This window comes from Homo sapiens, chromosome 7, assembly GCF_000001405.40.
Source record: "Homo sapiens chromosome 7, GRCh38.p14 Primary Assembly".
Taxonomy (NCBI): domain Eukaryota; kingdom Metazoa; phylum Chordata; class Mammalia; order Primates; family Hominidae; genus Homo; species Homo sapiens.
The window spans coordinates 35,619,958-35,643,443 of NC_000007.14; the positions used below are offsets into that span (position 1 = coordinate 35,619,958).

At 37.6% G+C, this 23,486-nt stretch overlaps 1 protein-coding gene and 1 long non-coding RNA gene across 11 annotated transcripts in view; both read right to left on the reverse strand.

Annotated features, from left to right (window-relative positions):
• The window catches only part of LOC101928421 (uncharacterized), a 37,633-nt gene extending 25,965 nt beyond the window's left edge, over nt 1-11,668 (reverse strand). For 2 of the 6 annotated variants that reach the window (XR_007060285.1, XR_007060284.1), the window contains exon 1: nt 1,152-11,668. This is a non-coding gene — a long non-coding RNA (uncharacterized LOC101928421). The remainder of the gene's footprint in view (nt 1-1,151) is intronic. The other 4 variants (XR_001745169.3, XR_242157.5, XR_927172.4 and 1 more) reach the window with 4 other exon arrangements.
• A 1,033-nt stretch (nt 11,669-12,701) lies between these two features.
• Nucleotides 12,702-23,486, reverse strand: part of HERPUD2 (HERPUD family member 2) — a 62,477-nt gene continuing 51,692 nt past the window's right edge. For 4 of the 5 annotated variants that reach the window (NM_001438070.1, NM_022373.5, NM_001438071.1 and 1 more), the window contains 4 exons: nt 18,393-18,515; nt 15,178-15,501; nt 14,355-14,472; nt 12,702-13,894 (listed from right to left, as the gene is read on the reverse strand). In NM_001438070.1, coding sequence (NP_001424999.1) covers nt 13,733-13,894; nt 14,355-14,472; nt 15,178-15,501; nt 18,393-18,515 — 727 coding nt within the window. In that variant the 3' untranslated portion in view covers nt 12,702-13,732. Of the gene's footprint in view, nt 13,895-14,354; nt 14,473-15,177; nt 15,502-18,392; nt 18,516-23,486 lie in introns of those variants that run through there. The other variant, XM_047420699.1, reaches the window with a different exon arrangement.

A 23,486-nucleotide genomic window follows, 5' to 3' on the forward strand; every position in this document is an offset into this window, starting at 1 on the left:
ACTATAGTAGAATAAGTGTTTCCCAGGTATGCACAAAATGAGATCATGACTTTATAGTGCTTAGCAAATGTTAGAGTGTTGTACAAATATTGGCTTTATTAGTACTGGGCACTCCTGATCCTATTCAGGGATCTCTAACTACTCTTGCTCTGTTCCTCCCCACCAAGCCACGAAGCAGAAGGCCAGCCTTGGTACCCACAGCCTCTTCTAAAGACAACTGATGCTAAAGCCTCTGCTGAAGGGGCAGGACCAAATGAGCCTGGCAACTGATCCCACCTCACTCTCAGGCAGCAGGTGATGGAACTGCGTTGACACTAAGCCCAGGCAACCCGTCAATATGCTGACTTTTGACACATGATATTGTCTAGCAAGAAACTTTGTGTTGAGACAGTCAGGTTCCTTCTTTTGAGAATTTTAACTTGGAAACACAGATAGGAATCCAGCAGTCAACAACAGGGCTGAAACTGGAAAAATGCATAGAACCAAGACATGAGGCAGAAATGGGAGGATGAAGGATCATAACAGGCAGCGGTTACTAAGAAGCTATAAGTAGAGAAAAGTATACCAAGCAGAGGGAAAGACTGAAAACATCTGCAGTGAGAGGATTGTGGAAAAGATGCACAAAGAAAACTGATGCTGGCCGGGCGCGGTGGCTCACGCCTGTAATCCCAGCACTTTGGGAGGCTGAGGCAGGTGGATTACCTGAGATCAGGAGTTCGAGACCAGCCTGGCCAACATGGTGAAACCCCGTCTCTATTATAAATACAAAAATTCCCTGGGCATCGTGGTGTACACCTGTAATCCCAGCTACTCAGGAGCCCATGGCAGGAGACTCACTTCAACCCAGGAGGCGGAGGTTGCAGTGAGCTGGGATTATGCCACTGCACTCCAGCCTGGGCAACAGAGAAAGACACCATCTCAAAAAAAAACCAAAAAAAAAAAAAAAAAAAAGGAAAAAAAAAGAAAACTGACGCTATTATAGACACCTTAGGCCATGAGGGCAGCGACAGCGGGTATGGCTGGTCCTGCAGGTGACTTTCCACTTCCCCTGCTCCTTCCTCTTTTATTTATATTTTCCTACCAAAAAAAAAATGAAACCTTACAAAGCCAAACTGAAAAGATGCCTTTGAGCACACAAAAATCATACTCACTCTAAAGTCTATTGACTGATTGAATTCTCAGATACATTTCTTCTTTCACTGTTTTTAAAATTACCGTCTTCTATATGCAAAATCTAGAAGGAAAAATACAATTAATTTTCATGACATCACATACTATTTTACTATTTGTTTGCAGGCCATCAACAAACTTCCCTTATGAGAAAATCCTAACTGTAATCAAGAAAGCAAATATCTCCCAAAAGCTCATTGGAGAAATGGCTGATTCTAGCACTGGAGCAGAAAATATACAAGATGAGCCTGGAACATCTTATTATGCCAGGAAATAAGCAAGTGCTCAAAAGAAAAGTCTCAATGATGGGGATATATCAAAGGAACACAACATCACTAATTAGCATGGAAATGCAGATCAAAACCACAATGAGATATCATCTCACTCCAGTTAAAATGGCTATGATCAAAAAGACAGAAAATAACATGCTTGAGGCCATGAAGAAAGGGCAAGCTTGTACACATAGGTGAAAATATAAATTAGTATAACCACTATGGAAAACAGTGTGGAGGTTCCTCAGAAAGCTAAAAATAGAGCCACCATATGATCCAGGAATCCTGCTACTGGGTATCTATCCAAAAGAAAGGAAACCAGTATACCAGAGATATCTGCACTCCCATATTTACTGCAGCACTATTCACAATAGCAAAAATGTAGAATCAACCTAAGTATCCATCAACAGATGAATGGATTAAAAAATGTGGCATATAGACACAATAAAGTACTATTCAGCCATGAAAAGGAATGAAATCTTGTCACTTGCAGCAACATGAATGAAACAGGAAGACATTATGTTAAATGAAATAAATCAGGCACAGAAACACAAATATCACATGTTCTCACTCTCATGGGAGAGCTAAAAAGTGGATCTCAAGAAGATAGTAGATTGGTGGTTACCAGAGGCCAGGAAAGGGTGAGGGGGAGGCAGGAAGAGAAGTTGGTTAATGGGTACAAAAATACAGTTAGATAAAAGAAATAAGTTCTCGTGTTTGATAGCACAGTACAATGACTATAGTTAACAAGAACTTACTGTGTATTTCAAAATAGCAAGAAAGGAAGATTTGGAATGTTCCCAACACACAGAAATGATAAATTTGAGGTGATGGATATCCCAATTACCCTGATTTGAGTACACATTATATGCTCGGATCAAAATGACACATGTACCACATTAATATGTACAATTATTATACAGCAATTAAATAGGAACATAGGAGCCACCTGAAAGAGCTCCCAATGGCCAAAGCTGAAACAATTTTAGCAATAAAATAAAGTCATATTGGATTAAAACCCAATGTATAAAATAAATATCCATGAGTCTATACTAACACAAATAAATGGATTGAATAAATAAATAATTGGGAGGCAAGAGATAAATCCCTCCATAGAGAAGAATTCCAAATAATTTACGTAGATACTCCATCCTCAAAGCAGTGAGGCATAACTCCCTGCTCCTTCTTGGCTGCACACAGTGACTTCCTTCCAAAGAGCTCAGTGTGGAAGGCAGGTGGGAATTACTTTACAGTGGGGAAACCTGACAAATACTACCAGGTGGCCAGGTGGTGAAGGTCAATATCATGTGTTTCTTTTTTGAGATGGAGTCTCGCTGTGTCACCCAGGCTGGAGTGCAGTGGCACAGTCTTGGCCTACTGCAGCCTCTGCCTCCTGGGTTCAAGCAATTCCCCTGCCTCAGCCTCCTGAGCAGCCTGCCACCACACCCAGCTAATTTTTATGGACTGCCACCATGCCCAGAGATACTATGTATTCTTGATATGATATGACGAAAATGGCACATTACCCCTGTTGTCTTCCTCCTAAAAACACATAGCCCCAGTTTAATCATGAGAAAAATATCAGACAAATCCCAAATCAAGAGACATCCTATAAAAATACTCCACCCATACTCCTCAAAAATATCAAGGACATCAAAAACAAAGAAATCTGAGAAATTGTCACACCCTAGAGTAGCATAAATAGACATGACATCTAAATTTAATGTGATATCTTGGAATCCTGGAGGGGATTCTGGAACAGAAAAGAGACATTAGATAGACTAAGGAAATCCAAATAAAGTATGGACTTCAGTTAATCATGATGTATCAATAATGGTCCATTAATTGCAACAAATATCCCCTACTAAGGTAAGCTGATAATATAGGGGGAACTGGCTGCAGAGAATATGGTAACTCTGTATCATCTTTGCAATTTTTCTGAAACTCTAAAACTGTTCTAAAATTAAAAGTTCATTTTTGAAAGTTAAAGAAGTTAAAGAAAAATATCAAAAGCAGCATTAAGCAATTGGGGCCATCTTTATCTATATGTTTTTGTTTTAGACAGTAATGATTAGATCCCTGTAATAAAAGACAAGGTCTGGAAAAAAAAAAAGTCTCCCAAGAGAATTGCTAAGTAGGGCGTTGGAATAAGGTGTTATCTTACTAAGCAAATACTATGGCCATAGAGGTGGATTGTCTGCTGATTTATTCTAAAGTAGAGGCTGCCAAAAATTTAAATAGCTCTTGCCCAAAATGTAATGGTCTAATTCAACTACCAGGAGCCACCTCTGGACACAGAAAGCGAGACAGCAGAGCTCAATGCTTAACTCCTACAGGAACTTCATTCCTCTGTCTGGTGCCAACAGTACCTTTGAGCCACCTGTAAAAGTGGCCAGGCTTATTCTCTATATTTTTCTATATGTTTGAAATATTCCATAATAATGTTAAGAACATTTTTGTAATTTTTATTAGCTTTCAATTTTGAAATAATTTCCAACTTGATGAGAAAAGTTGCAAAAATAGCACAAAGAATTCCCACATACCCTTTACCCAGCTTCCCCAAATGTTAACACTCTGCATAGTTATAGTACAGTGATCAAAACCAAGAAATTAACATCGAAGCAATACTATTAGCTCACCGACAGATTGCATCAAAAAGTTACCAATCGTCCCACTGAGCTCCTTTTTCTGGTTCAGGACCCACGGTGCATTCACAGCTGCCATGTCTCCCGCCTCCTCCAGTCTGGGGCAGTTCCTCGGCCTTTGTCTTTCATGACCTTGACATTTTTGAAGAGTCAGTGTAAAATCATTTAAACTCATTGAGTTTATGACAATCTCCCTAAAACTGTTCTGAACTGAAGGCAGCTCTTCAGCGAGTTGCCAGGCCGTCAGGGAGCAACCTTGATACAGTTTCTCAAGCTGGACAACTCTGCAGCCTCTGCAGCCCCCAGAGGGGCAGGAAGCGCATGGGAAAGTGGCACAAGGGCGGGACTGCACCTCACTGGGATTCCGGACAACCAGTATCCTGAGCACCTAACAAGGCGCCAAGCTCCCACGTGCCTAGGTACCTCCTCTACTCGTAGGAGCTCTGAGGAGGTGGGTGGGTGTGTGCTCCAATCCACTCGCTAGGGCTCGGTGGGACCAGGAGTTCACGGTTGTGTGAGCAAAACCCAGACGCCAGTACTGCACATCCTGGAGCCACCTGGTGGCTACAGTCTCCAGCTTTCTCAGGGCCCGAGAGTATCCTGTCTTCCATGTTTTTTTCACGCTCTGGTAAGGTAGCATCCTTCCCTCCAGGGTCTCCAAGCCCTGAAGTAACCTTCCTCCAAGGGCCACCGCGGAAGAGATGTGCAGTGTTACAGCACCATCTAGTGCTAAAAATAGTACAGTGCAGCCATAGCATCCCTGCTGCTCCAGTCACAGCTCCTGGGGGTGTAATTAATAATTTAGCAACCTGTCAAGATTTAACAAGTTGACTCTAATTTCACGGTGTGACAAGCCAGTCTGGTTTACCAAGGAAGAGGCATTGGAGTCAGATGAATCCCTTGTCTGCCCTTACCAATGTGTCTTGCTCTGTCTCTGACAGTCCAAACCTTATTTTCCTCATAGTTAAAATGGGACTAATACTGTATTCAACATTGTTATAATGTACCTGGATAAGTCCTGGGATGATAGAAAGTCCCAATAAGCATGTATTGCTTCTCATCCTCCTCCTTACCCTCTTGTATACAGAGGATTTCCATGACAACCTGGAGCCGTTAAAATGGAAGGGACTCTCCTCCATGAGGTGTGATGTTCATCCAAAGAGCCGGACAAACTATAAAACCCTGAGGCCACTCCATGGTTAGGAGCCGGGACTCGGAATCTGAATTGGCTTATTTTGAATACCAGCTCTGATGGTTGCTGGTTTTTCCATCTGTAAAATGGCGATGGTAGTGATGATGCCTGTCTCCTAAGGCTGTTGTGAGGATTAAATAAATTAATACCTACAAAGCACTTAGAAGGCAATAATGTCGTAAGTGTGAGCTATCATTAATAACATTTCTTAGCAATCTGGACCCAAAAAAGGCAGGAGGTGGGGGAAGGCTCAGAGCCACCATTTATTTGATTTATAAAAGAAAATGTTCCACTTCTTGTCCTTTTGAATAGTACTCTACCTCTCATGTTTTCCCCTAAACACACACACACATACGCACACAATCTTCAAATATTTAGAGTCTGGCTCCTCTTCGACCAACTCCAAGTCTCAGTTAGCTTCCTGGGCCATCTCCAAGGTGAGGCAGGGCCACAGGCAGCCCATCTGAGCCTCACAGACAGCCCAAATACCTCAGCCATCGGTATAGTACTGGTAAAGCAAGCCCTTTATCATTATGAAATATCCTTCATACTCTGGTAATACCTGAAAGTTCACTTCGTGTACTAAATACACCAGCTTCCTTTTGGTTAATACTTGCATGATAGTCCTTTTTCCATCCTTTTACTTTCCATCTTTCTGTATCCTTGTTTAAGGTATGTTGTTTTTAAGTCTCAGAGAATTATATTTGTTCTTTATCCAGGGTGATAATAATATTGCCTTTGAATTGGAATATTTAGTCCACATATGCTTGATGTAGAGATTGATGCATGTGGGTGTTTGTTTTCTATTTGTTCCCATCTGTTCTATGCGCCTTTTTTTCTTTTTGCCTTCCTTTGGATTATTTTATTTCATATTCTCCTTCTGTTATCTTGTTAGTTTTACATACTCTTATTCTTTTACAAAATACCGTAGAAACTGAAACATGTACCCCTGATTTATTAATTTCTAATATAAATCAGTGCCTCCACCATTTTCACTTTCAAGACAATTCAAGGACTTCAGAATACTTTAATTCCATTTACCCAGGGGTCCACAGTCCCCAGGCTGTGAACCAGTACTGGTCAGTGGCCTGTCAGGAACTGGGCTGCACAGCAAGAGATGGGTGGCAAGCCAGCAAGCATTACCGCCTGAGCTCCACCTCCTGTCAGACCAACAGCAGCATTAGATTCTCATAGGAGCGCTAACCCTATTGTGAACTGTGCATGTGAGGGATCTAGGTTGTGCACTCCTTATGAGAATCTAATGCCTGATGATTTAAGGTGGGACAGTGTCATCCCAACACCATGCTCCCAATCCCTCCACCCCTCCACCCACTGTCTGGGAAAAAATTATCTTCCACAAAACTGGTCTCTGGTGCCAGAAATGTTGGGGACCCCTACATTTACCTCCCTCCACACTTAACGTGCTTCTCTTGGTGATGTATTTTAGTTCTTTATATATTTAAGACCCCAGAAAGTAAAAAGTTGTTTCACACATTCAATATTTATTTAGTTTTATACACATACTTACCCTTTCCATTGCCTTTCAATGCCTTTCTGCACCTCCAGCTGTGGTCAGTGATCATTTTCCTTCTGCTCCAACAACACCCTTTAGTACTTTCCTTTCATACTTTTGGTACTTTTCATTGGTGGCAAATTCTATTTTCCTTTGTCTGGACGTGTCTTTGGAAGGATATTTTTGCCTCATAGTCTTCTAGGTTGACTATTATTTTCTTGAAGCTCTTTGAAAACACCATTCCATTTTCCACTATCATTACTTCTGCTGAAAATTCCCTCTCAAGGCTTGCTGTTGCTCCTTTGAAAGTAATATATATTTTTCCTCTGGCTACTTTTAAAATTAGTCTTTGTTTTCCAGTAGTTTTACTATGAAGTAATTAAGTATAACTTTCATTGTAACTTATCCTGCTTAGAGGTCAACAGCATTTCTTATTTATGTGGCTTAATGTCTTTCATTAATTTGGGAACAACCTTAACCATTAACTCTTCGAATAGTTGTCTTCCTATTTACCCCCAGCACCAGTCTGGATATTTTCTTATCTTTCATTTCATTACCTATCTCTTAAGTTGTGTCTATCAGAGCCATCTACTGATTTCTTAAATTGTTATATTATTTTTCAATTCTAGAATTTTAAACATAGTGTCCAGTTCTCTCCTGAAGTTGTTCCATTTGGTCATTTAATTCATGAACATTTTAATCATAGTTATTGTAAGACACCGGTCAGATAATGTTAACTACGTGAATTTCCTGGAGGTCTGTTTCTATTGTTCACTTTCTCATTGTTGGTCGAATCTTGTGTTTTTGCATTCCTATTTCTTAAGCAGACTTTGAAAACAATTAATAGAGAAAATTTGAGAAATTAGACCATGTCCTCCTTCAGAGGGGCTTTGTTTTTGCTTCTGGCTATCCACTAGATCTGAGGCTGGGCTTCAGTCCTTGTGAGGACAGGCCCATAACCAATTCACCTTTAATCAAAGAGTAGCTCTTTGGGGTCCCACGAGAAAGTCTGGGGTGTTTTCCAGGGCTGCTTCTACTTGGACCCCAACTCTAATTTTTGGTCTGCATTAGTCTTCTACAAATTCTGTTCAGTTTCTCAGCCCCTGCCCTTGAATTAGCAAGTCCCTTGAGGGGGAAACGAACAGTATCAAATGTAGGTCTCTCGAATATTAGCCCTTGCTTTCTCAACAGCCCTCTGATCCCTGAATAGGTATGTATATTCTGGCTTTTGTCCTTTCCTCAGCAGAAGAGTTGGTGCAAAACAAGCTAATCTCCCTTTGCTCAAGGCTGAACTCTCCACATTCCTTATTTGCATAATTAATTAATCTTGGAGTCCATGGTCTAGAGTAGAATAGACTTGGGTTCAAGTCTCCATTGTGTTACTTACTAGCTGTGTGTTTTCAGGTGAGCTATTTAACTTCTTAAAGTCTTAGTGTCCCATCTGGAGAATGGAAGCAACAATGGTACCTACCTTGAGTTATTTTAAGGATTTTTTAAGATGCAGGCATAGCATTTAGCACAGAGCCAGGAATACAGCAAATATTTAAACATAAATAACATCAAGCATTAAAGCATTCCAAGTAACAGTTGTTATCATTATGTAATGGAAAGGATGGCACAACAGCAGCCTGTCTCCCATGCACCCCCTGTGAAAGAGTAACTACCTGGGGGAAGATCCTATACAGGTCTAAGTTTTTCCCCCTTGCTCATCCTATGGCTTTGGAACACTTGGATGAAACAGCTTACTGCACCACATCAAATGGTTTGTGCAGGTGTTGGTATGCTCTTTTTGGAAAGCAGATCAATTGGAGGAAGGGTCAGAATTTAGCAGTAGGATCAAAAAAGTAAGCTTTGGCAACAAGACCCATGAAACTGGTCCCCTACACTATGGCCTCCAGGGTTTATCCCCAAAGTGTAATGGGAGGACAGGTGCAACCACTGGGGTTTGCTCTGGAAAGAGGAGACAGGTCTTTTGCTGTCCTGCCCGTATCAGGGTTGAGACTTCATTGTGCTTGGGAAAGGTTTTCCACTTACTAAGAATTCTGGACAGTAAAGGGGCCCTAGAGGCTTTGACACAGGAACCCTGAGTAATTATTCTCTGCTCTCTTGTAAGAAAAACATTTCTTTCGAATATTCCATAATTTTTAATAAAAGGCTTGCATTGTTCACAACACATTCAAGAAGTATTATCATTGATTTTGCTTTTTGAAATGTTTAAATATTGAAACATCCAAAATACTAATGTGGATAAAATACAACAAACTTGCTTTGTACCCACCATGTGTTTGGTTTCTATCACTTTCCCAAGCTGCAGTTCCAATGTGCAATGCTAGCAATACCACCGGCAGAGGTGAGCCAGCTGGCCAAATTGGGCCTCCCAGGAATGATCTGGTAGATGAGAACACCACAAGCCAGAGCCTGGCAGTTTTGCACATCCAGCAACACCATTCCAGATACTGCAGGCCTCAGGGTCTGACGTACACTGGACTTCGAAAAAGCTGATGTATCACGTCATATTGTAGTCTTTTAACGGTGAGGCAAGGCCGGACGCAGTGGCTCACGCCTGTAATCCCAGCACTTTGGGAGGCCGAGGCAGGTGGATCAGGAGGTCAGGAGTTCAGGACCAGCCTGGCCAAAATGGTGAAACCCCATCTCTATTAAAAATACAAAAATTAGCTGGGCGTGTTGGCAGGCGCTTGTAATCCCAGCTACTTGGGAGGCTGAGGCAGAGGTTGCAGTGAGCCGAAATAGTGCCACTGCACTCCAGCCTGGGCGATAGAGTGAGACTCCGTCTCAAAACAAACAAGCAAACAACAACAACAAAAAAACACAGAGGCAAGAACTGCCACTGGGACTGTGTATTTGAAGCTCCAAATATGGCCTTTCCTGCCACTAATTTGAAAAGCCTAATTTCAATAGCGATGGTAGAAAGAGCCAAGGAAAATAGTTACAATACTGGTGAGCTGTGGCATCTAATTATGTCACCAAAGTATGATGTGAATGTCTCCAATTCTCCAGCCCTCCAGATCACCCTTTTCTTTTACCTATCTAACATAAATCTGACCCTCTCACTGTAGGTCTAGTCTTTATGGTAATGTATAATAATGTAAGAAGTCCTAGAAGTGTTTATATTCCAGAAACATATATCCTGGTTGTTACTAGTCACAATCTGGCCTTGAGACCAGTGTTTGGATTACCCCAGCCACCTAGGTACCATCTGGCCCCAGTATGGACACAGTCCCTCCCTGAATCATCCAAAACACAGCTCACATTGGGCTGTAGTTCTTGACAAAGACTTAATGAATGTGAGGCTAACAGAAGGGAATTAACAATGTAGGAAAAATAACAGTGGCTCACGCATTTCAGTGTTCTTAGAACCTGTGACATCCCTTCACAGGAGTTTATAACCAGGACCTTTCTCCTTAGGCCCCACCCTGCTGCTAGGAGGCAGGGACTTGCTCATTTCCTCCAGAGGGGTGTCCCCACAATGCTGCCCACCCCCAGTGAGATCTACAGCTCCAATTATCTTCTCTCCAACTTCCAACAGAAATGAAACTGATCAGTCTCACAATTAACTCTGCATCCTCTCCCCACCCTGTACCTGGCTTTAGGCTCTGACCCATGGGGCATTTCTGCCAGCTTTGATAGTTTATCTATTTAGCTCCCAGGTTAAAATCCAGACCTTTCTTCTGGATGCAATAATTACATCAGTCTTGAAATAAGCCATCCCTAATCATGGACCCAAACAGTGTTCAAATGTGGCCATAGCTCACTCTGCTGAACATCTGCTAATTCTGATTTTTTTCCTAGTAACCAACAATGCAATGAATATCTGGAAAGCTAAATCTCACACATGCATGACATCCTTTCAAACTTCTGCTGGCACTCATCCAGGACTGAACTAAATACCAGGTTCTCCCCAACTTCATCCCTTCTATATGGTGAGAGAAACAAGGAAATAAATGTAAACTGCAACAGTGTTAAAGGCAAAGTAATAAACTGTGCTTCCAGGGAAAAGCCTCCCAAAGAATTGGCAATTATGCTGAGATCTGATGAGTCATTAGTGCTAGTGAGGCAAAGAAGGAAGAAACTGTGTGTGTTTGCAGCAAAAAGAACAGCAATTTAAAAAGTCCGGGGCTGGAAGGTGCAGGAATTGGAAGAGCAGCCTAGCTAAACCAGGAATTAAGGAGGAGCTCAAACTGACAGGAGGCGAGAGCACAACCTTTCAGGATTTTGTAAGCCATGTTCATTAGTCTGATTTGTATTCTAGGAATAAGAGGATGACAGTGAATGATCTGTGCACATTTTGAAAATCTGATACTTGCTGGAAAGGCTATATTCTGTTTTACATTCCCCTACAGTTTCACCAACACTAAATATCATCTTAAGAATATGGTAGTTTTAACTACTGGATACTACCTTTTTTCATCTTTATTACCCATTTCCTATTGGAGTGCTTTTTTTTTTTTTTTACTGGATACAAATTATTTTTTACTGGAATGAATTTAAGACTTCATTTATTACCTTTTCTATCTTTTGTGCTCTAATTATTTGCCTTTAAATTACTTATGTCAAAACATTATATACTCAGCAATCTTTAAAGATTCTGCCATAAAAGTGTTCTCTCACTCCAATGTTATATATTCACCCACATTTTCTTAGTATTTCCACGATTTGATTGTTCATATTCAATCATGTCTTGAAATTTATAAATAGAAATCTAACTTTACTTTTCAAACGCTTAACTAAGCAGTCATCCCTGATAATGTCACTTTTATCATTGTAAGTAAACAAATCAGAAAATAATTTATTGATGTTTTCTTAATCTTCTACTGTTATCTAATCATATATAAATATATATAAATATATAAATTATATATATAAATATATAAATATATATAAATAAATTATATATATAAATATATATAAATATATAAATTATATAAAAATATATAAATTATATATATAAATTATATAAATATATAAATTATATATATAAATTATATAAATATATAAATTATATATATAAATTATATATAAATATATAAATTATATATATATATTATATATAAATTATATATAAAAATTATATATAAATATATAAATATATAAATTATATATAAATATATAAATATATAAATTATATATAAATATATAAATTATATAATATATAAATATATAAATTATATATAAATATATAAATATATAAATTATATATAAATATATATAAATTATATAATATATATTTATATATTTTTATATTTATATATATAATTGTATAATATATATTTATATATAATTATATATTTTTATATTTATATTTACATATAAATATATATAATTATATAATATATATTATATATTTATATTTATATGTAAATATATAAATATAATATATAATTATATATAATATATAAATTATATATAAATATATACAAATTATATATATAAATATATATTATAATTATATATAATTATATAAAAATATACAAATTTTTATATAATCATATATAAATCATATATATAATCATATATATATAATCATATATAAATCATATATATAATCATATATATATAATCATATATATATATTTTTTCCCCTGGGCCACTACCACATTCATAATTTTATAATGTATTTCATGTGATATAAAGTTCTCCCACACATATTTGTTTTATTTAGCTATCCCATAAGAAACTTACTGCCTTCTCATGATACATTAAATTGGCTTTCACAGGGATTTTTAAATAAACTAATGAGGTTTCAATCTAACTAGGAGATATCCATCTGGAATGGAAAGAGGTGTAAATGACCTTTAAGACTTCAGCAACCCTTCCAAACAACTACTAAAATTTACATAAATGTTTGCATGTAATGGGTGAAGAGTTTGAACAAATATCCCATAAAACTGTTTACCATAATTGACTTTTTATTTAAAAAATTACACGGAGCAATTTCCAGCTTATCTTTTTTTATAAAAGTACTGCCTATATCAAACATTTTATATCACGTTAATTCCATTGAAGAGCTGCCTTTTTCTGTTAAGGTACTGATTCCAATTGATGGGATACATGCCCTTAATACAGAAAGTTTCCATTATTTATTCAAATATCAAAATTAAGATTATTGAGAAGTTTATTGCTTTATGGCTGGGCAAGATGCTACTAGCACATTTTAGGTAAATAATATTCTTTATTAAAAACTATGAGGTCATTCTGTTTAAAACTTTCAAGATAATTCACGGAAAACAGATATATCTATTCAAATTAAACATTAAAGGGCCAGGCTACTAGCTATAGACATTTATATGTGAAGCAGCTCTTTTTTTTTTTTTTCTGAGACCGAGTCTCACTCTGTCGCCCAGGGTGGAGTGCAGTGGCCCAATCTCAGCTCACTGCAACCTCCGCCTCCTGGGTTCAGGCAATTCTCCTGCCTGAGCCCCCCAAGTAGCTGGGATTACAGGCGCGTGACACCACACCCGGCTAATTTTTTTGTATTTTTAGTTAAGATGGGGTTTCGCCATGTTTGCCAGGCTGGTCTCGAACTCCTGACCTCAAGTAACCCACCCGCCTCGGCCTCCCAAAGTGCTGGGATTACAGACGTGAGCCATGGCGCCCGGCCAATGAAGCAGCTCTTTAAAGAAATAAGACATGAAAATAGGTCTGTCCTGGTATACTACACATAATTGAAATGAGTAACACCTGGAAGACCAATATTGTTACGCTATGTTCTGTTAGGATCTTTAAAAAAAAAAAAAAAAAACTCAGATATTTAGTAGTCCATTCGTGCTTAAAATATTCATATGCATGAGAAGCCTAAAGAAAAAAAACACCTCTGTACATGATGATCAAAAGAAAGTTATAAATTTTTTTGAAATTGCACTGTTATTTAAACCACTTTCCTGAAGTCAGACCCTCCTTGTAGCTGGCACAGTTTTTCAGGTCAATTGGCAACCTGGGGAGGCCCCTCTGGTATTAGTGAAGTAAAGAAGGTGGTGATGAAAGACCAAGCTGAAGCCATTAATCCAGGCCTTTGAATTGCACTGGCATCTTCACCTCCATCTTCTCCACTCTCATCTTCAAGCCCATCATCCATAAGACGCTCCTTTCAAGCAAAACAAGAAAGATACTCCTGAGTGATATGAACGAGCATTAGCTCATAATAGAATACAGTTAAATTCTTTGTAGAACAAAGGACTATGAAGTGGTATGTATGTGGTCATTAGAAATCTTTAAGGCCAAAATTGATAAATTCCTCACTGTTCCGTAAAGGGGACAACTGCCAATGCAATACAATAAATTCTTACCATGTGTATAATTTTATTTCTAGGCTATTTTCAAGAAAAAAAAAGTTACTTCTTCCCATTTAGTTATAATATATGACTGATTCAGTATAATATTCTAAGTTCTCCCAAATGAAACCACCACAATTTATATGTTAGTTTTCTTTCATGTGCCATTTCACAAATACTTATGGAACATCCAACATTCTTTCATCATGTTGGTCCCATACCGTGCTGGGAAAATCTCAGTATCTTAAGTATACAAAAGCTTCAATCACATACCATTTCTTCAAGTTCCAAGTTGTTTGCATTTTGCCCATCATTGTTAACTTCGGCATTATTGTTGGGAGCCTGCTGATGACCTCCTTCTTGCCTAAAAGGAAACCATCCAGCTTGGTGTCTGTTCAGTAAAATAAAGAGAAAATAAAATAAGTCACAGTTGTTTTTATTTGTAACACTATAAAATGTTATTAGTGTCCTATAAGAGAAAAATGATTAAAACTATAATAAATAAAAAGACCAAATCTCCCACTTCAGGACAGGGAACTACCCTTTTCAAAGCAACGACAGCAAAAGAAAACCAACCCAAATCTCTAAGTCTATCATGGACTCCACTGGCTCTATGTTAGTTATTAAAACATATCAGGAATCATAAATCTTTTCTGGTACTTTTCAAAATGAAATACAACTTAGATATTTGTTTGCCCCTTGGAGAGAAGGGAGCAGGGGAAAAATAGTCTACTTATGAAAAAAATCTGGCTTATACCTATAGAACTTACTATTGGTAATTCTAATGAAAGAGGATGACCTTATGCAGGAGTGCATCATACACTTGTTAAGTTCGAAATAATGGATAGAGTATGTCTCACTGAATGAACAACTTTTATAAAATACAGTAAACAAAAAATCTGCTTCTAAATAATTCTGATAAACATTCTCACTCAACAAAACCTTCCCTTGCTTTTGGCATCAAAAACATGCCAGATATCTAAAGCCCAGCATTCATATTCCTTCACTCAACATTCACAACAGACTACCCTACACCAGATTCTGTGCTGAACAGTTGCAGAAATTAAACCACAAAAAGTTAATGAACATCACTCACAAATAAACCAGTAGCATGGCTCCCATTACCATGATAAACCGACTAAAAGAAGAATAGAAGTATACAATGCTAAGGAGAATCGCAGCTCGTGAGAACGTGTACATCCAGTCTAGCCAGTCTCGATTGAAGTCTTCTTCATTTAGTACTGGACCTCCCTGTGCATTCATTTGAACATTCTCATTCATGGGTCGATTTTCTTGGGCCACTAGGTTTGGAGCTGGTGGGGGTTCTTCTCCAGGAACATGTGCCAAATTTAGAGGCTGTGAAGTAGTAGGCTGGGTTGGGTTGACATTTGATGTGGCCTGAGCTGAAACTGCAGCTTGACTGAAATAGTCACCAAAATAAATATTAAAAAGAAAAAAAAACTTTACCATACCATATTTTTTTAAACTTCTTGGGGAGCTATATGTATTTTTCATAAACCTAATATGGAATATCCCAACTCCTGCACCACATTTCTTAGGTAAGCACAAATTCCAATGGAAAAGTGGAGCCAAGGTTGATGGTAGATGTCGCACAGGAAAGGATGTTCTCTCAGCCTGCTATTGTAAGATGACAGGGGAAGGCAAAAGACGTGAGAGCAGCCATGTTAACCACTCCTCTCTCTTTCAATAAATTACCTTAACAGCTAATGAGATGTCCAAACCTTTTCATGAATGCCCCCTTTTGTTATTCTACATGGGATGAATACTCCCAAGCTCACCACCTACCTCTCCCTCAGACCCACGTTTTGAAAGGCTTGTCTAAAAATATATACTATTATTATACTGTGTGTCTACTGTCAGTGATAAATGATTTGTATTAGTATCCTAAAATCCTAAATACATCTCAGATAACAACCCTTCCACCCCAATACTGATTTGGAAGAACTCCAACTGGGGACCACTGATCCTTGTCAAGTTAGAAAGAATTGTGATTCTGAGGTTTGCTTATATAATTTGATTGCTTAAAATTTCCCAGTAAAGAATAAATTTCCTAGTAAAGTGATAATATATCTTGGATTTGCTTTAAATTATCCAACAGAAGGAAGAAAGTTGTAAAATAAGACTGACATGAATTGATAAATGTCAAAGCTGGGTGATAGGTACACATGGATTCCTTTTACTACCCTACCTTGTTATGTTTTTAAATTTTTCTACAATAAGAAGTTAATAATCAAGAGAGCACAAGAAAGTTAAATAAGTGGTTCCCAGGCTACAAAATCCTATTTAAGCCAGTATGCTAATACCTTGTACCTGTATAGGGCTTTTTAGTTTAGAAAACACTTCCTACTTCATGAATATTCTGATACACAGGTGAGTTACATTACTTTAAAGGGGAGAAACTAAGGCTCTCAAGTTAAATGATGCACATAAGAGTATATGATTTAGCAGCAAGCATAATAAGCCCCCCTTATCTTACACAGTTCTTGTGAGGTTCACAAACGAGACAAGGTGGGGTACAGCATCCAGCAGAGTACTGAGCACAAAGCAGTCACTCAAATGATAACCATTACCATGGCAACATGTAAGGTATGAACATCCTGTCTGGAGCCAAGGGCTTATGAAAGAGAGCCTTAGGATACGAGGTTCATAAAGCAGCTTAGCTTTATGGGGAAAGGTCTGGAGGAAGGACAAGGATGTAGACTTCACAGTGGGCAAGAGAATCAGTGGATATCTGGGTGGCTGCAGGAATGACTGACTTAATTATGTGTTAAGAAATGTAACCTGGCAAACCGGGCATGGTGGCTCATGCCTGTAATCCCGGCACTTTGGGTGGTCAAGGCAGGCAGATGGATCCCTTGAGGCCAGGAGTTCAAGATCAGCCTGGCCAATGTGGCAAAACCCCTGTCTGTACTAAAAATACAAAAATTACCCAGATGTGGTGGCACATATCTGTAATCTCGGCTACTGCGAGGCTGAGGCACAAGAATCGCTTGAACCCGGGAGGCGGAGGTTGCAGTGAACCAAGATTATGCCACTGCACTCTAGCCTAGGTAACAGAGTGAGACTCTGTCTCAAAAAAAAAGAAAGAAAGAAAGAAAGAAAGATAGATAGATAGATAGATAGATAGATAGATAGATAGATAGATAAAAGAAATGTAACCCAGCAGCAGTATAAGGAAATACAGTAAAAAGACTAAAAGGAGAAAGAGCTATTGAAGTCAAGTGGACTTAGAATGAGAAAAGATCTGGGTGAAACATTGGAGGTAGCATATGGGGAAGGACAAAAGCTCTATTAACTCTTCATAAAATACTGCTTTCAGGAATAACAGAAGCCAGAATCAAAGCTGTTTATGGTTAAGAGCTTGAGTAATAAGAAGAGAGCTAGTATGACTGACGAAGAAGTGAGAAAGGAGAAGGCACTTAAAGAACAGAGGAATTGAATTTTAGATGTACTGAATTTGAGGTAAAGGCTCATTCCCCTATGGAAATCTTCCAACAATAAAGCAGAGACACAGGATGAAGCACAGGAGATGAAGAACCAGGATTCATCCACAGAGAGCTAACAACTAAGACCACGCAAAAAAGAAATCCAAGAGAACTACCCCAACAACTAAATCCCATCCTCTCTACCGACTATGAGTGCTGAGAAGCACGTAGTAACAAATACGTGATGAACTGAGAAAGAAATGTTAATAAAATGAGCTATTAAAGGACACAGAAAGAGTGACCAGAAAGATAAAAAAGGTACGGAAGACAAAAGAATCACAGAAACAAGGAGAGGAGAATGGTAAAGAGAAGCTAATCCATGTTAAATGAATGCAGAATGAGTTGAGGAGAATGAAGGCTGAGAAAGTGTCCTCAATGCTAGGACTGTTCCATGCTGACCAGAATCAAAACGGACTAAATACTGAGAGTCAAGTAAGCATATTAGCTGCACTTGAGCCCTACATAAGCTATGGCCTCCCTGACATGATTCTATTCCTTTACTCATTTGACTAACTCTTCATGTATATTTGCTGCCTTCCAGTGAAACATTCCTAAGTTTTCTCCTCTTAAATTTATAAAATGTTATATTAAAAATCTGAATACTGCTAAATGTAATTAGGGAAGACAGGGAGGAGCCAAGGGCAGGGTTAGTTCATGTGAACTGGAGGTGAACCCTTTTTCCTTTAGTCAAAACAACATTAAATACATAAACAAATGAAATGCCAAATCAACTTACTTAGGATAAAAAGAAAATAAAGCAAATAACACACTGAGTAACTTAAAAAATGAACTCAGATTAACTTACTACTGCATATAATACTGATGAGCATACATCTGTTGCCACCATAGCATCTGCAGTGGGCTAAACGCGGGATACACTGGGAATCCAGGTGGAGCAGCTTGCCCAGGAAATTGGTTGTCTACATTTCTGCAAGAAATAAATAATGAGCTCTTTTAATGCTCTAGCAGCTAAAAGTATTATTCTAAATTTTCATTTCTGAACCCCAAGTCAACCATTGACAGAATATATTTAAATCTCACTGAAAAGAAAAATACTTACTTTCAACGATTCTTCAAATAAGACAATATGTCTTACATAAGTTGACCCAGGGCCCAACTATATAGAATAACTAACATTTCAGTCCAGTTTTAAAGGGAAAACAAAGAGAAACACCACAAAATGTACATCCAATCTAAACATTTATTATCTTCCCATTTCATTACATGAAGCCAAAAATACCTTCATTTTAAGTACATTTTCCTTAAGAAACAAAGCCCTAAAATAAATTTCATGACAAAATATTTTGGGGAATGGTGAAATAGACAAATGATATTTTATATTAGTAATAAACTATTATTAAAATATAGCAGCTATGAGCTGTAAAATAAAAAAGAACATTACAAAAACCTGTAAAATATTCTGTAAAGAGACAAGATTAGTAGAACATGTTCACATATACATTCTTAAAGTAGGTTAAAATTTTATTTCTTTTTTTTTTTTTGAGACGGAATCTCGCTCTTTCGCCCAGGCTGGAGTGCAGTGGCGTGATCTCGGCTCAGTGAAACCTCTGCCTCCTGGATTCAAGCAATTCTCCTGCCTCAGTCTCCCAAGTAGCTGGGACTACAGGCACGCGCCACCACACCTGGCTAATTTTTTTTTTGTATTTTTAGTAGAGACAGGGTTTCACTGTGTTGGCCAGGCTGGTCTCGAACTCCTGACCTCAGGTGATCCGCCCGCCTTGGACTCCCAGAGTGGCAGGATTACAGACATGAGCCACTGCGCCTGGCCAAATTCTATTAATTCAGTAAAACTTGTGGAAGGTCACATTTAACTTCTCCATACTTCAGTTTCCTCACTTCTAAAATGGATCTAATAATAGAATCTTCCTCACAGGATTCTTATCCTGTATTCATGAAATGTTAGCTAGTTTTATTTTTACTCTCCCCCATTCCAACACCGAACATGATGCCAAAGTGTATAATGTGAGATTTGTAGAAAATCACATATATCAAGACAACTACAGAGATAAACAGGTAAGAAAATGCACAATTCTTTGTGAATTTGCTAACTCTTCTTCACATTACTTGATTTTTATCTTTAGCTGATACTAGTTTGGTCTATCCAGAGTGAGACAAGAATAAATTCATTAGCTATAATTTTATATTCTAAAGACTGTTTACACATACAATTGGTAATAATTGATTATAGAAACCTAACTTAGAAGAGCCTGGGGAGCTAAGCCTTATCAACAGGCTATACTTAAAGAAACGTGGTGCTAGGTAAGGCATCACCTTCCCCACATATTACCTGAACTTTCCTTATTCTTGATGGAGCAGTGGCAGCCACATAGGGTCCCATCCTCAAAAGACCCTTCAATCTCCTAATATTTTATATATATTTCCTTCATATAGGGTCCTATATAAGGGGGAAAAAACTTCAGCTCTCTTGGACACAGGACAACAGATGACACAGCACCTCCCCACCTCAAAAAAAGCAAACCTCAACCCAGTTATTCCTTTAAAAAGATGTCAGTTAGTGAGCAACTCTGGAGAGAAAGCCATACCACTGAGGCAGAGAAGTATTTTAAAAACATTTGTTTTGTACAACTCAGCATTTACACCAGGGAGCTGATGCATCTCTGAGCAAATCTATAAAACTACCTAAATCAAGTATTACAGCAATATGCTGTATCTAGATGTATATTTTAAATTTTATTAGTATTTCCCATTATGAAAAAACCCATCCCCTTGAAAGTAAATCTCCACCAATCTCTATCATTAATAAGAATGTCAAACAAGTCTGTTACTTCAACTGTAAAATGGGAAGGCTGGAGTTTGTCACTGTTTTTAAAGCTCAAGGGAGAAAAGCCACTAACCATTACTTTTTTAAAAAGTTATAGCTTCCCATGTCACCCTCCTGCATGCTGCCCAAAACATATGGAGAATATAAGGTGATTGTTGAAAATATGTTGCCAAAATAAATAAATAACCTCCCCAAGTATTCTTCCCTTTTTCCCTAATAAGTTAGAAAACTACTGGACGATATAATTGCCAAATACATCCCAGGCCCAAGAGGACATACTATAATTTTCAGTTGTGTTCATTACCCTCAGACAAGATGGTATGCATTTGGTATTCTCCAGAAACAAGGAATAAAGGATCTGATGCTAAATTATAAAGTTATTAATAAAATATATAGGAATAGATACAATGAAACACATTACTTAAGAATTTAATATATGTTAGAGGATGCATCATTAAACAACAAGTTAAAGAGAACTGTTATTTAATGCTAGGGAAAAAGATGATCAAATCTGTGGGGAAAAGGAGTTTAAAAGCTTCATCTCATTCTGTATATTCAAATAACAGAGCTGAAATAAAGTATTAAGAGTGAAACCACAGATAGCCTAGAAGAAACTAGAATTATTTACCAACCCTTTGGAGGAAGGACTTTCCTAACTTAAGTAACAGAAGAAAGAAGAAAAAAAATCAACATATTTGACAACAAAATTTAAAGAGAAATGGCTAAGAAATGTTGCAATAAATTGTAGTTAATATGTTTTCTATATAAAGAACTGATAGAATAATCATTAGGATATCAACTATTAATTAAAGCAAAGATAGCTTTTTTAAGTTTGTTTGCCAAGGTAGAAAAGATTAAATAAAAATATCCATTATTGGCAAGAGGTACAGGTAAAACCTAACTCTTTGATTGCTAGTGGCAGTATAAATTGGAATAAGCCGTTAAAACACAATTACAAAATTAAAGACCTTTAAAAATGTTTTGCTCTATGGAAAAAAAATTCTAGCTCATGGATAAGAAGAATCAATATCATTAAAATGGCCATATTATCCAAGGCAATTTGTAGATTCAATGCAATCCCTATGAAACTACCAATGACATTTTTCACAGAACTAGAAAAAACTATTTTAAAATCCTTATGGAACCAAAAAAGAGCCTGAATAGCCAAGGCAATCCCAGGCAAAAGGAAGAAAGATGGAGGCATCATGTTACCTGACTTCAAACTACTGCAGGTCTACAGTAACCAAACCAGCACAGTACTGGTACAAAAACAGACACACAGACCAATGGAACAAAATAGCCCGGAAATAAGGCTGCACACCTACAACTGTCTGATCTTTGATAAAGCTAACAAAAAACAAGCAATGGGAAAACTATTCAATAAATGGTGCTAGGATAATTGGCTAGTCATATGCAGAGGATTGAAACTGGACCCACCTTCCTTACATCACAGACAAAAAATCAACTCAAGATGGTTTAAAGACTTACATGTAAAACTCAAAACTATAAAAATCCTGTAAGACAACCTAGGCAATACCATTCTGGACACAGGAATGGGGAAAGATTTCATGACAAAGATGCCAAAGCAATTGCAACAAAAGCAAAAATTGACACATGGGATCTAATTAAACTTAAGAGCTTCTGCACAGCAAAAGAAACTATCACCAGAGTAAACAAATACCCTACAGAATGGAAGAAAATATTTGCAAACTATACATCAGACAAAGGTCTAATATCTAGCATCTATAAAGAACTTAAACAATTTTAAAAGAATAGAAAAACATTTAAAAAGTGGGCAAAGGACATGAACACACACTTTTCAAAAGAAGATATACATGTGGCCAACAAGCAAATGAAAAAAAGCTCAACATCACTGATCACTACAGAAATGCAAATCAAAACCATAATGAGATACCATATCACACCAGTCAGAATAGCTACTATTAAAAAGTTAAAAAATAACAGATGCTGGCAAGGTTGCAGAGAAAAGTGAACACTTCTACACTGTTGGTGGGAGTGTAAATTAGTTCAACCATTGTGGAAAGCAGAGTGGTGATTCCTCAAAGAGCTAAAAACAGAACTACCATTTGACCCAGCAATTCCATTACTGGGTATATACCCAAAGAAATATAAATCATTCTATCATAAAGACATATGCATGTGAATGTTCATACAGCACTATTCACAATAGCAAAGACACAGAATCAACCTCAATGCTCATCAATGACAGATTGGATAAAGAAAAAGTACATATACACCATGGAACACTAAACAGTCATAAAAGAAAATGAGATCATGTCTTTTGCGGGAACATGGATGGAGCTGGAGGTCATTATCCTTAGGAAACTAACGCACGAACAGAAAACCAAATACCGCATGTTCTCACTTATTAGTGGGAGCTAAATGATGAGAACACATGGACACAAAGAGGAGAATAACAGACACTTCAGCGTACTTGAGAGTGGAGGGTGGGAGGAGGGAGAGTATCAGAAAAAATAACTACTGGGTACTAGGCTTAGTACCTGGGTGACCAAATAATCTGTAAAACAAACCTCCATGACACGAGTTTACCTATGTAACAAATCTGACCGTGTACCCGTGAACCCAAAAGTTTTTCAAAAAGCTTTGCTCTTATGCCCAACTGCCCAAGTAATTCTATTTTTGAAAATTAGCTTATAGAAATATGAAATATGGAAAAAAACTTCACATCTCTGCCCTTTAATAAAACCTTTATACATACTCCCACTTCCAGCCTGCTGTCCTCTAATAATAGAGAGAAACTGGAGACAGGGACAATAGCTCATTAATTTTTTTAAAAATAGAGGATGTTATCATAGCACTTATCGCCACGTTGAAACTGCCTTTTTAACCGCACACCTATGTAGACATTTACTCTCTGACCTATCTACTTTGGCCCATTCCTACTGTAAGACACAAATCTATCCTAAATACAGCAAAGCCAAAATATAACAAAAACATGAAGGGATGTTTCCACAAAACTATTCATCAAACACTATTTATAATAGCAAAGATTGCAAATAACTCAAATATTTGTCAATATGAGGTTGGATGTCACAGTTTATGCACTGAATGAAT